The following is a 14,073-nucleotide window of genomic DNA, read 5'->3' as shown; positions in this document are numbered from 1 at the left end:
TTTGGGAGAGGCATTTTCAAGCCAAATTGAACACCCAGAGCCTCCAGTAATCAATGCCACAATAAGCCCTGTGTGCTCTGAAAGCGACTGCAAAGACACCCGCACTAGATGTGCCCACAGCTTGCCTCCATCTGCTGAGGCTCCCCATGTGAGCCTAGTGCCTAAGTGCCCTACCCAACTGGCTTTGTCCTCCAACCCAGCTAGAAATCCAGAAAGTCCTTCATCATCATTCTCTCCCTACAGAAGACATTTTATTTTAATTTGAAGATATGCTCCACTTCCATTTTATCTATTGAATACGTATTATGTGAATGCCTTTGATCCTGTGCTAAGTATAAGAGATAAAGGAATAAACATCATAGGCCAAAATCACTCTTCCATGGGGCTTTTATTCTATTTGGTGAGTTTCTTCTACAGCCTTGAGTTCTGCTTGTTTTGTATGAGATGTCCCTTTTTTGTTTTATGCTACCCAACATGTATCTGTGTTGCATTTGAGAATAGTGACTTTTTCTTTTTTTTCTTTTTTTTTTTTTTTTGTTTTTTGAGACGGAGTCTCACTGTCTCCCAGGCTGTAGTGCGGTGGCACGATCTCGGCTCACTGCAAGCTCTGCCCCCTGCGTTCAAGCCATTCTCCTGCCTCAGCCTCCCTAGTAGCTGGGACTACAGGCACCCGCCACCATGCCCGGCTAAATTTTTTTTTGTATTTTTTGTAGAGACGGGGTTTCACCGTGTTCGCCAGGATGGTCTCGATCTCCTGACTTCATGATCTGCCCACCTCGGCCTCCCAAAGTGCTGGGATTACAGGCATGAGCCACCGTGCCTGGCCGATAGTGACTTTTTCACATGAATTTCTTTCCCCAGTGCCTAGGACTGCCTAACACATAGCAGTTGCATCAGTTAGGAATTGGTTATATTTGTTTGTAAGTAGAATTTGGTTGTAAGTGACAGAAATCCTCTCCTCCCCCCAAAAAAACATGCAGTGGCTTAAATCAGATAATGATTTTTTTTTTAATCATTTAGTTCAGGAGTAGAAGGTCCTGGGCTGTCCTGGTGGCTCCACAATATTCTCAATGCTCCAATTTCCTTTTATTTCTGTTTTCACCCTTTTTACTGCTCAGTTCCACCCACAAGACTTCTTCATTGTCCTCAGAGGGCCACTGCAGCAATAAAAGTGGCACTCACAGTCCAGACGGTAAGAAAGCAGAAGGTGTAAAGGGAAAACAAGCCAGGTATTTAGGAGGTGCTCCTGGAAGCCCCAACTGCAACTTCTCCTGGTGTTTCATTTTCCTGAACTATGTCTCAAAACCACATCCTTCTTTAAGAACGTGGTAATTTTTAAATGTTTCCACTTGGATAAACCTCCTTCTGAGAAGTGGAGCCTAACTTTTCTCCTCTTGAGTGCACACTGTACTGAGTGACTTGCTTCTAATAAATAGAATGTGGCAGAAATGATGGTGTGTGACTTCCGAGATTGAATGATAAGTGATACTGTGACCTCTTTCTAGGATCACTCATTCTGGGGAAGCAAGCTGCCACGTTGTGAGGCCACACAAGCAGCCCTGTGGAGACGTTCATACATGCAGGAACTGAGACCTCCTGCCAACAACCTGCATGAATGTCCCCAACCCATTGAAGCTAGGAATGAGCCACCTGGGAAGCAAGTCCACAGCCTCAGGCAAGCCTTCAGATGAGTTGCAGCCCAGGTCAAAGTCTTGACCACAACTTCATGAGTGACCCTGAGCTGAAAACATCAGCTAAGCTGTTCCCAAATTTTTGACACATGGAGACAATGTGAGGTAACAAATGTTTATTGTGCTAATCTGCTAATTTGGGGGATACTTTGTTACACAGCTTTAGATAACTAAAACAAAGGGAGACTATGAAATATTAATTTTGGTCATCAATGTGGCAGAGACTGCTAGTTTTCCACAAAAATCTACTTATCACTTCTTTGAGCACAGAGCTAGACTATATTTCCCCTCCTTCTTTACAGTTAAGTGTGGCCATGTGACTAAGTGCTCTCAAATGGAATGTAAATAAAAGTGATATATACCACTTGTAGGCTTGGCAAAAAGACCTGCATATGCTCCTCCAAACATTTTCCCTTCCAACCCGACTTTTCTGTTTTGCCAGATCAGTGTAGACAGTAAATGACAAGGCCATAGGAGAGAGCAGAGCCACAAATGGAAGGAGCCTGGGTCCCTGAGGAATCAAGTGGAAAAGAGTTGCCTTGACAAGGTGAAGACATGCCAAAGGTTACTATGAGAGCATGAAATAAATTTCTATTATGTTAAGCCACTGACATTTTGGAATCCTTTTCTTTTCTTTTCCTTTTTTATTTTTTATTTTTTGAGATGGAGTCGTGCTCTGTCACCCAGGCTGGAGTGCAGTGGCGTGATCTCAGCTCACTGCAACCTCTGCCTCCCAGGTTTGAGCGATTCTCCTGCCTCAGCCTCCCCAGTAGCTGGGATTACAGGCACACATCACCACGCCCAGCTTATTTTTGTATTTTTAGTAGAGACGGGGTTTCCCCATGTTGGCTAGGCTGGTCTCGAACTGGAATCCTTTCCTTATCTCAGCCTAGACTGTTCTACCAAATATAGAAATATTTCTGCCGCCCCCTTCCACCTCACCAAAATTGCAACTGTTAGAAAGAGAGATTGCAGGTGAATGCTAGAAGTCTTAGTCTCAGGAATAGTCCATGGTTAAGTATATATAGCACCTCCTGGCTGGTGCACAGAGGGAGGTCTGTCTCTGAGACTGTTCAAGGCACTCTAAAGTGGGCAGCATGATCTCCTGAGGGCAAAGTCCCTAGACCCTGCCCTCAGGAGATCATGTTGGTATCTTAAGAAAGTGAGGAGGGGAATTGGATCTTGGAGGAGAAGGAGGCGGGTGAATTGTAGGCCTGATCCTACCTCATTATCACTTCCATAGGCACCAAAGACTGATATCTAACTCAGGCTATCTCCACCCTGGGGTGTCTCTGCTCCATCAAGAAGTGTACAATCTGCCCATGTCCATTCTTATCTCCTCCTTGGCTTACGTAGAAATACTTCTTTCTTCACCCTTGCTTGAACATTTTCACCACTGTGTTGCTACCCTGAAACCCACATAAGGCTACCCAAGGGTACCTAAGGAACGACACCTTTCTGATATTTCATTCATTCATGCATGGAAGCTAACATGTACAAAGACTCTATTATGGCTGATCATAGTCTACAAGGTGCACCAAGCTCTGGCCCCTGCTTATGACTCCAGTTTCATCTGAGCCTCTTTTGCCTGGTTTTCTGACCTCCTGCCAAGTACCTTTCTAAGTCAGTCTTACCCAGGCTCAGAGCCTCCCCCTGCTAACAGGATACCAAATGCCAAGACCTTAGCTTGTAGGTCTCTATTGAAATGGTCCCTGCTCTGGGACGCCTCCATGATACTCTATGAACTAGGTCAGGTCCTCCCATGGTATAGTCTTATAGCTCCCGTACCTCTTCGTTCTAGTCACTATTGAGTAATTACTGGAGTAATGACCTATTTAATGCTTACCTTTCTCACTAGTCTGAATGCTTGGGAAGAGCAGGCACTATGTGTCTCTGATTTCCCATGCAACAGAAGCATCCTGGAGCCTGGTAGTGGGGAAACATTTCTTGAATGAATTCATGTGCTAGAGACAGGGAGGCAGGGGCTGAATCTCTTGCCCTGGAGAAGCTAAACTGACTAGAAGGGAAGGAAGCATGTAGACAAATAAACTGTTATATTTGATGAACTGTTTATCCCTTGGATTGGACTTAAAGGCAGTCCTCTTCCCAGTGAATCTGACTTAAGGAAAACTATGTTACAACAAAGATCACTCAATAGCCATAGCTCCAGAGATGCATTTCTGGACTGATCAGGGAAGAATTCATAGCTTTTCTTAAATGCAACTCGGACTGAAAAGAACTTGTTCTTATTAATTATTATTGTAATTATTCACTCACCCTTCCCCATCCCAATATATACTTAGAGATATAGCAGAGGTCCAGTGAAGGTGCCTTACTACCTTCTAATTTGTACAATTTTTCAGGCCCGTCTATGACTAATGGTGGAATCTTCAAGAAATCATGATGCATATCCTTGTTTTGGGGAGAAACAGCAGAAAGGGACTTATCCATGGTGCTTTCAAGTAGGAAACCATGACCTGAGGGAATGAGTGAATAGAATATTCCAGTGTTATTGTTGTTTGTGGCCATATAAAGCCTGCCCTGCCAATGCACTGTGGTATTCAGGGTTTTGAGAGATTCTGGACACATTTCTTTCCACTGCAAGTAGTTACAGAAACACCCTTTTGAGCAGCTTAAACAGTAAGAATGTGGACTGTCTCATGCAAGAAGTACAAAAGTAAGCTAGCTCCAGGCTGAGATGGTCTGCCTCCCAGTCTAATTCTCTGAAATTTTCTGAGCTTTGCCTGACACTACGTGTCTCTTTTTCCTTGGCCAAGTTCCTTCTGTGGTCACTGACTGTCCCTCACATCCATGGTACTTTGAAACGTTACCAAGGTCTGAGCTCTTTCCACAGCTGAGATGCTGGTGCACCACTTTGTTTTTCTGAAGGAGCCTAACATTATTCCCTTTTGCAAATATAATGCCCACAGTGCTCCAAAGAGGGAATGCTGTGTTCATCTCAGACCAAAAAATGTTCACAAGTATTCGGAATACAACCTCTACTGATGAGGCCCCTTCCATGGGGTGTGTTCACTGGTATTCTTGGTTAGAACCCACTCAGGTTGAATCCAAAGGTGTGCTTGGGCCCTGCTTTCTGAAAAGCCATGGCAGACTGGCCCAGACACTAAAAAGAATGCAAGGGCATGTCACATGGATGATGGAGCTAAGAAAAAAGTCTTAACAACAGGAAGGCCTTCTCTCCATCCACGAACATCTATGTCATTCCCCTCCACCACCCCAACACTGGGAAAGGATGTCCTGAGTTGAGAGAATGGAAGAGAATCATGGTATGCATTATTCTGCTTGGGTCATCATAACAAACTACCATAGACTGGGTGATTTAAACAACAGAAATTTACTTTCTCACAGTTCTGGAGGCTGGAAGTCCAAGATCAAGGTGCTGGTAGGGTTGGTTTCTTCTAAGTTCTCCTGAGCTTGCAGTCAGCAATCTTATCGCTGTGTCCTCACATGGCTTTCCTCTGTGTAGGCATGCACCTAGTGCCTCTTCTTCGTCTAAGGACACCAATCGTACTGGATTAAGACCCTTATAATCTTACTTAACCTTAATTACCTCTTTAACAAATACAATCACGTTGGGGGTTACGACAGCTTCAACCTATGAATTTGGGGGTGGGGGCATACTTAACACATAACAAAGAGTAAGAAGAAAACACAGACATTGGTGTTTTCCCAATACAGGGTCCCTGCAACCCACTGCCTGGCCTGAGGCCCATATTGATGAATAACTCAGTTGCATCTTGGAAAAAGTACAGCAAAGAAGAACAAATTTCTTACTCCAAGTGGAGTTCCAGAAAAGAAGCAGGGAAGTGACCAGATCCTAATGAGAGGGAGCTGTTTATATCTCTAGAGACGTATCACCTCCGATGGCTGCTCAGCAATTCTTTGTGCCCTGAGGCAGTATGGAAGCAGTAGAAGGATTTCTGAGGACCAAGAATGGGTAGAAGTAGAGATGAGAGTCTCCAACCCTGGAAAGGCCATAAAGATGGGAACAAGTGGAGGCTTAGCAGTGACCTGTGTGGTAGCAGCAGCTATGGATGACTTGAAGATCAGACTTCCACCTCTATCTCCATCTGCAGCTCCCTCACTACCACTACCACTACACCATGACCACCATCACCACCACCACCACACCCACCTCTGCCAATACCATCCACATTCATCACCATCACCAAAACCAAAGCTAACACATCCAACAACAACAGTGCTATCATCATCACACTCACCAACACTATAACCACCACCACAATCGCGACTCTCCTCATCATCACCACCTTCATCACCACTGCAACCACTTCTACCTCTGTCAGCTCTACCTTCACAACCACAGCCTGCATGGCCTCCAGCCTTTAACTTTACTGCCTCCAAGACCTCCACCACTATCTCCACCATCGCCTCTATTTCCACCACCACCACCGCCTCCATCTCCACCATCACCTCCACTTCCACCACCACCATCACCATCTCCACCATCACCTTCATTTCCACCACCACCATCACCTCCACTTCCACCACCACCACCGCCTCCATCTCCACCATCACCTCCACTTCCACCACCACCGCCTCCATCTCCACCATCACCTCCACTTCCACCACCACCATCACCATCTCCACCATCACCTTCATTTCCACCACCACCATCACCTCCACTTCCACCACCACCACCGCCTCCATCTCCACCATCACCTCCGCTTCCACCACCACCATCACCATCTCCACCATCACCTCCACTTCCACCACCACCATCACCATCTCCACCATCACCTTCATTTCCACCACCACCTTCATCTCCACCATTACCTCTATTTCCACCACCACCACCTCCATCTCCACCATCACCTTCATTTCCACCACCACCATCACCTCCACTTCCACCACCACCACCATCTCCACCATCACCTCCATTTCCACCACCACCTTCATCTCCATCAACACCTCTACTTCTACCACCATCACCACCACCTCTATCACCTCCATCACTTTTCTTTGGCTCCTATATGTCCTCCAAGCCTCATCCTAACCACCAACCTTCATTTGTTTCTTTTATTTTGTTGGGTTTCTTTCTTTTTTTTTTTTTTTTTTTTGAGACACGGTTTCACTCTCATTGCTCAGGCTGGAGTGCAGTGGTGGGATCTCTGCTCACTGCACTCTTTGCCTCCTGGGTTCAAGTGATTCTCCTGCCTCAACTTGCCGAGTAGCTGGGACTACAGGTGTGTGCCACCGCACCCGGCTAATTTTTGGATTTTTTTTTGTAGAGATGGGATTTCACCATGTTGGCTAGGCTGGTCTCGAGCTCCTGATCTCAGTTGATCCACCCACCTCGACCTCCCAAAGTGCTGAGACTAACCATTACCCTTTTGAGGAAGTCTCTCCCATCACCACCCTATGCCAATCGTCCTTTGTATTTTCTCTTTTTTAGACAAGGTCTTGCTCTGTCACTCAGGCTGGGGTGCAGTGGTGCCATCTCCTCTCACTGCAGCCTCGACTTCCTGGGCTCAGAGTATTCTCCCACCTCAGACCCCCAAGTAGCTGGGACTACACATGCGCGCTACCATGCCTGGCTAATTTTGTGGGGGCGGGGGGGGCTTTGTTTGTTTATTGTAGAGAGAAGGTTTCCCTGTCTTGCCAAGCCTCTCCTTTGTATTCTCAATTGCGCAGCACAGACATGGCTGTATTGAAGAGTTTTTGCTTCTGGATTGGAATTGTTGATTCAGTTGCCTGTTTTTTCACATAAATTGTATAGTTCTCTTTATTTCCAATGCCTAACCTAAAACAGTGTCTGGTATATAAGAGACCTATATAATCAATATTTGATGGTGAGATGCATACATGACTACATGAGTCTTTTAAATTATTTAAAAACTAGTAGGTCTTAATTATTTGACATTTTGAAATTGCAATGAATATTACCGTGAGATAGTATTTATCAGCAATGTGTAAGATTCGATTTTCTAATTTCCAGTCCACCGTGAATTACCAGGCCAGACACAGATCGCGAAGGAATAATTGAAGTCGACTTCAGATAGCAGCACTGCTCCAAGTTCACCACTAGGTGGCAGGCACACCCCAAGAGGAGGCCACCTCCGCCCTCGACCACAGCCCCGCCCTTGGGCACCGCGTCCCACTCAGCCCCAGCTCCTTCCTGGGACGCCCCCCCCCCCAGGAGGGGCAGGGGCCAGCAGATAACGATTGCCCTGGGAACTTCCCCGAAGAAAGACGCTCCTTCCTCCGCCACTCCCACTCCTACTTCTTGTAAACTCCACCAGTCTCTTCATTCTTCACGTCCCCAGCTCCCCGTCCCCACCTCCCCATACACAATTGCCCTCGCTTTAGCGCTCCCGGCTCCCGGCGCAGAGCCCAGGGGGCTGCTGTCTCCCACGTCACTGCTCAATTATATGCACCGAGAAAGAGAAGGGACAGACCTTCCTGGAGGCTCCCCCGAAGGACATCTTGAGAACTGTCTGGTGTGTGAGGCTGCAGCAGACAGGAGGAAGAGAGACAGGAACAAGGAAAAACTTCAGAAGAGTCAAGAAGAGAGAGAAAAGCAAAGCCGGAGGGAGCTGGAGGTTAAGGATAACGCCTTAGACGCTGCGTAGCCTCAAGACAGCTTACGGAGCCCAGCCAGAGTCAGGGAAGTCACCTGTACTTGGGTCTCTCAAGAGAGCCAAGAGGACCAGACCAGCAGAGACTTAGGCTCACAGAATTGCGTCTCCTTGGTCATGAACCCTGATGGGAAGGGAAAGGAGGCAAAGACAAACGTAGTGGGAGGTGGAGCAGTTGGAAGATGGTGGTCCCTCCCTGGGCTGCCTAAGTTGAGTAATTGCTTTGCATAACTTTCCTGGGCCCTGGGTTTAAAAAAAAAAAAAAAAAAAAAAAAAGGCTTCTTGCCCTCCTTGGAAGGAGCCTAGAGTCTTATGGGCAAAGGGGGCCTCGTCTCCTCCACCCCAACCCTGGGGCTGGAGCCCCTCCCTCCCAGCCTGCTTCCCTCCTTACTTCCCCTGGCTTTGCATCTTGCTCTGCTCTTGGGCGCAGTTTGGGAGGGGGCTGGGACTCCCTCTGAGCACAGTTTCCAATAGTTTCCCAAAGTTGGTGGTGTTTTCTTTCAGCTTTCTGTGTGTTTGGTTAGGACAATGAGCTACCTAATGGTTATTAGACTAATAAAAAGACACCAAAACAAACAGTGGAAGACAAGGATGTCAACATAGGCACCTCTTTGTTAGGCTTGTCACCGACAGCCAGTGCTGACAGCCCACCCCGGACTCCTTCCCATGGTTAGAACCTCACTCCCCCTCTGCACTGGCATTGGCAAGAGATACCCAGGATCCTGTGGAAACTCCTGCTCAGGGCAGTCGCCTCCTCTGAAGTTACCCTGAAGGTTCCTATTTGCTCATTCCCCTGCCTTGGCGTGGGCGGGAGGGAGAGTGTAGCTGGGTTGCAAGTTCAGTTGCTCCCGAGATCTGCTACAAAGAAAGTGACTTTGTTCCAAAGCTAGCTCAGGGGAAGAAGCACAGGCTTCCTGCCTTAAGGGTACGGCTTCTCTTTTGGAAGAGAAAGCAGGGGTTTTTAGAAGGGGATTTTGCACGCGTGGTATGCAGGGGAGGAAACAAGCAGGTGGGGGTCTGCGTAACTTCCAGTGCCTTATCTATATGTGCCTTATCTACAGGGCTGCCTTACCAGAAGTGGTCAAGTTGGTGCCATCGCAGGCAGAACTAGGTTGTAAAGTGGCCTTGTCTCGAGGTGCTCTTCAGATGAGAGAGAGTTTTGTAGCAGGCATACTTTTGGTTGTAAATTGGCTTTTGTCTGTCAAGGCAAACTCCTGGTGGGAAAGGTTTCCACTCTGGAGCTTTTAAATACGCACACAGTTAGATAAGCTTACCCTATAGGCAGTGTCTGGTGAAGGGAAGGTAAAAGGTTATAACTGCATTCCTAAAGAGCTAAGTAGGAAGTGGGGCACAGGAGAAGAGGAGGAAAGAGGAAAAAAAAGAGAAAATATAATTTTAAATATTAACTTATTATCCCTTAGAAAATGAGAGTACTGGCCGGGCACGGTGGCTCACGCCTGTAATCCCAGCATTTTGGGAGGCCTGAGGCGGGTGGATCACGAGGTAGGAGATCGAGACCATCCTGGCCAACATGATGAAACCCCATCTCTGCTAAAACTACAAAAAATTAGCCGGGCATGGTGGCAGGCACCTGTAGTCCCAGCTACTCAGGAGGCTGAGGCAGGAGAATCGCTTGACCTGGGAGGCGGAGGTTGCAGTGAGCCGAGATTGCGCCACTATACTCCAGCCCGGGAGACAGAGCAAGACTCTGTCTCAAAAAAAAAAAAAAAGAAAGAAAGAAAAAAGAAAAGAAAAGAAAAGAAAAGAAAAGAAAATGGGAGCACTCAGTTAGAAGGGGATTTTGGAAATGACCATGGCATTCAGAGTCTTTTGGCTCAGTAACCAGTTCCAGCATCACAAGGGAGAAGCAAACAGAAAATGTAGCTCCTGGCCGAACGGCATGTGGGCCAAAGCCCTCTATGCATTGCCAGGTACCTTATGAATATTCATGTGACTCCTTATTCACCATTGACTGGGCACCCCTCCTGGGCCAAGGCATTGTACTAGGATCCAGGGCCACAGTGGAAATTGAGACACGGCCCTTGCAAAATGCAGGCAAGTGATAAATGGCACCGTGAGGAAGCAGGCAGCCAAATCTGGAATGAGGGAAGTTCTCTAAGACAGAAGTCCTGTGTCTTCAATAAATAAATGTTATGAATAGAAGAGGGAAAGGCTGTTAGAGGCCAAAAGAAGTGCTGGAGGCAGACCTACTAAAAGTAATCACTGGAACTTGCTGGGATCCTGCTTTGAAGAAACCTGACTCTAAAAGGGTGGTTTCGAGGCTGGGCACGGTGGCTCACAACTGTAACCCCAGCACTTCGGGAGGCCAAGGCAGGAGGATCGCTTGAAGCCGGGAGTTCGAGACCAGCCTGGGCAACAAAGTGAGACTCTCTCTACAAAAAAATTTAAAAATTAGCCAGGCGTGGTGGCGGGTGCTTGTGATACCAGCTACTCGGGAGGCTGAGATGGAAGACTCTCTTGAGCCCAGGAAATCCAGGCTGCAGTGAGCCATAATTGCACCACTGCATTCCAGCTTGGGCAACAAAGCAAGACCCTGTTTCAAAAGCAAAAAAAAAAAAAAAAACAACGTTGTTTTGAGACAATCAAGGGAATGTGAATGTGGAATGGGTATTCACTTTAAGAATGCTTCAACTTCATGTATGGTTATGATGGCACTGTGGTTATTATTTCAAAAAAGAAGGAAGGAGGTCATCTGTTAGGGAAACACAACTCTCTATTTGCAAGGCTTTACTGAAGAAGAGACGTATAGAATTAACTTTAAAATACTAAGTGAAATAAAGTATCTTGACCAATGTGGGGGTTAGGAGTGCCAACCTCTGTGCAGTAAAAACGTCATATGTAAGTTTTGACTCCCCCAAACTTAATTATTAATATCCTATCATTGACCAGAGGCCTTACTGATAAGATGAAGAGTCAATTAACATATAAATGCAACAGTATCTACTCATATATATATATATTTTTTTTTTGAGATGGAGTCTTGCTCTGTTGCCCAGGCTGGAGAGCAGTGGTGTGATCTCGGCTCACTGCAACCTCCACCTCCCGGGTTCACACCATTCTCCTGACTCAGCCTTCCAAGTAGGTGGGACTACAGGGGCCTGCCAGCACGCCTGGCTAATTTTTTTTTTTTTTTGTATTTTTAGTAGAGATGGGGTTTCACTGTGTGAGCCAGGATGGTCTCAATCTCCTGACTTCGTGATCCACCCACCTCGGCCTCCCAAGTGAGCCATGGTGCCCAGCCAGTATCTACTCATATTTTATGCATTTATGACATATCTATCTTTTTTCTTAATTTTTTCAATATTTCTAGGCTATGCAGTTTGTATGTAGGTTTCTTCAAATCGTCACAAGTCTCAAAAAAGTCAATATATTTATGGAAGAAATATCCAGGCCAGGCATGGTGGCTCATTCCTTGTAATCTCAGCACTGTGGGAAGCCCAGGCAGGAGGATCGCTTAAAGATGGAAGTTCAAGACCAGCCTGGGCAACATAGCAAGACACCATCTCTACAGAAAAATTAAAAGTTAGCCAGACATGGTGGCATGTGCCTGTGTTCCTAGTTACTCAGGAGGCTAAGGTGGGAGGATCGCTTGAGCCCAGGAACTCGAGGCTGCAGTGAGCTGGGATAGTGCCACTGCACTCCAGCCTGGAAGACAGGCAGACCCTATCTCAAAGAAGAAAAATTGCCAACATATAAGTGGACCCTCGAAGTTCAAACTTGTGTTGTTCTCAAGGGTCAACTGTACATACACAAGGGAGACATATGAAAAAGAATGAACGTTGATAATTGTTGAAGCTGGATTGTGGAAGTTCATTAGGTAACGTGCGCACGTGTGTGTGTTTAAAATTTTTCGTAATAAGCACTTTTTATTAAAAAAAAAAAAAACTATTCCAAGGAGTTTAGGGGATGCAAGTAGGGGACAGACAGACAGTCATCAAGAAGTATAATAGAGCAGAAGAGCGAAGGCCCAGAGGCTGTGCAGGGCCAAGGCCAGACTGACTGCGTCAGCTAAATGAAGATGGGCTAGGCGCGGTGGCTCACGCCTGTAATTCCAGCACTTTGGGAGGCTGAGGCGGGCAGATTGCTTGAGCCCAGGAGTTCAAGACCAGCCTGGACAACATGGTGAAACCCCATCTCTACAAAAAAAATACAAACAAAAAAATTAGCCAGGCATGGTGGTGCACATCTATAATCTCAGCTACTGGGAGGCTGAGGAGGGAGAATCATTTGCATCTGGGAGTCAAGGCTGCAGTGAGCCAAGATCACGCCAATGCACTCCAGCCTGGGAAACAGGAGTGAGACCTTGTCTCAAAAATAAATACATACATACATATGTACATAAAGATTGACAGAAAGAACATTCCAGAAGGAGACAGCCCACGTGCACAGGGACGGATGTTCCAAATGACATGCCACTGCCCAAAAGTGTTTACTAAGGAAACCAATTCATCTGGTTTGCTTGGAACTTTCATGGTTTTAGCACTGAAAGTCCCACATTTCAGGAAATCCATCAGTACCCAGTGAGCCTGGATGGCTGGTCATCCTACCTTACCACTGTCTCGTGCAACACTGGACTGGCCAGGTGAGGGGGCACAGCGCTGAGCAGGAGCAGCTACAGGGTGGAGAGTTAGGGCACTGTGGATAAGAGGCTAAGAGCCATCCCCAGGCAGTGACCATCCCTGCTCCCATTCCCTTCAACACCACAGCTGCAGTAGCGGCCTCTTCATCCCGGGACACTGGAGTCAGCTGCCCAGGGACCATGATGGCTCCTCATGCCTCCTCATCTGTCCTGCTAGGAAGGGGGTCTGCAGACAGAACAGCTTCTACCCCGGACATGTTCTCCTCTGATGCTTGCTGCCCCTCCAATTTACATTTATATTTAAATATGTACTTATACACATGTGCATTATGTGCATATATATTATGTATATATTCTTTAAGCACTTGCTATGAGCATTTTCTCATTTAATCTTCATAAAAGCTCTGTGATGTAGTAATGATCCCACTCAATGAATACATGAGGAAATTAAGGCCCAGAGAAGTAATTCGTCCAAGGCCAAATACAGAGATAGCAATATACCTCACATGGCTACCTCATGGAGTTGTATGGGAAATAAGTGAATTGCTATATATATAAAGTGCTTAGAAGAGTGCCTGACATGGAGGGAGTGATGAATAAGGGTTTAACTTAGGATGGTATTACTCTGCCACACTGCCGTGCCCTGCAGAGGGTGGGGGAATAGCCCGAACTTTGTAAAAATAAATAAATAAATCATTTGATTATTTGCATTGCAAAATAATTCACTCTAGGGTTCCTCTGCGAGCCAGGCCACTTGGTTTTACAAACTGATTTGAGTATAAAGTCAGAGGCACCTAAGGCAAAGCAACTCACATCCTCAAAAACCTTCAAAGTCAAGTTCCCCTGGACACTCAAGGCAGGCCTCTCCCTGCTCATTGCCCTGAGCAGAGACGCTCATCTTCACAGAGGACAGAGGGCGTACTCAGCCTGATCCCTCACAGCAGCTCAGGGGACAGGCTCATCCTCCTAGCTCTCTGCTTCTCTAGGCATGGATCACACAGCAACCTCTACAGAGCCTTCTAGGCTCAGAATCTCCTGCTCATTGCACAGATGAGGAACTCAAGATGCCAAATATGGGAGAGTCTCATACCTGCCTTGACAGCAGCTTCCTTGGATGGCTCCTAGGAAAGCCCTCCCGGCAGACCACAGAGGAAGCCCCTCA

General features: G+C 46.7%; 2 annotated features.

The window, feature by feature from the left end:
- Positions 7,690 to 7,984: a silencer, noted in NCBI's record as "tiled region #4925; HepG2 Repressive DNase unmatched - State 4:PromP". NCBI's record gives its function as "represses a minimal TATA promoter and a strong SV40 promoter by Sharpr-MPRA in HepG2 cells {active_cell/tissue: HepG2}" and the evidence as "EXISTENCE:reporter gene assay evidence [ECO:0000049][PMID:27701403]".
- Positions 13,776 to 14,000: a silencer, noted in NCBI's record as "fragment chr17:10742413-10742637 (GRCh37/hg19 assembly coordinates)". NCBI's record gives its function as "represses an EF-1alpha promoter that drives an FKBP-Casp9 reporter gene in an ReSE screen in HepG2 liver carcinoma cells {active_cell/tissue: HepG2}" and the evidence as "EXISTENCE:reporter gene assay evidence [ECO:0000049][PMID:32094911]".

The sequence above is a fragment of the Homo sapiens genome, chromosome 17 (assembly GCF_000001405.40).
Source record: "Homo sapiens chromosome 17, GRCh38.p14 Primary Assembly".
NCBI lineage: Eukaryota > Metazoa > Chordata > Mammalia > Primates > Hominidae > Homo > Homo sapiens.
Note: the sequence above shows the minus strand (reverse complement) of the source record. Positions and strands in the feature narration are given on the sequence as shown.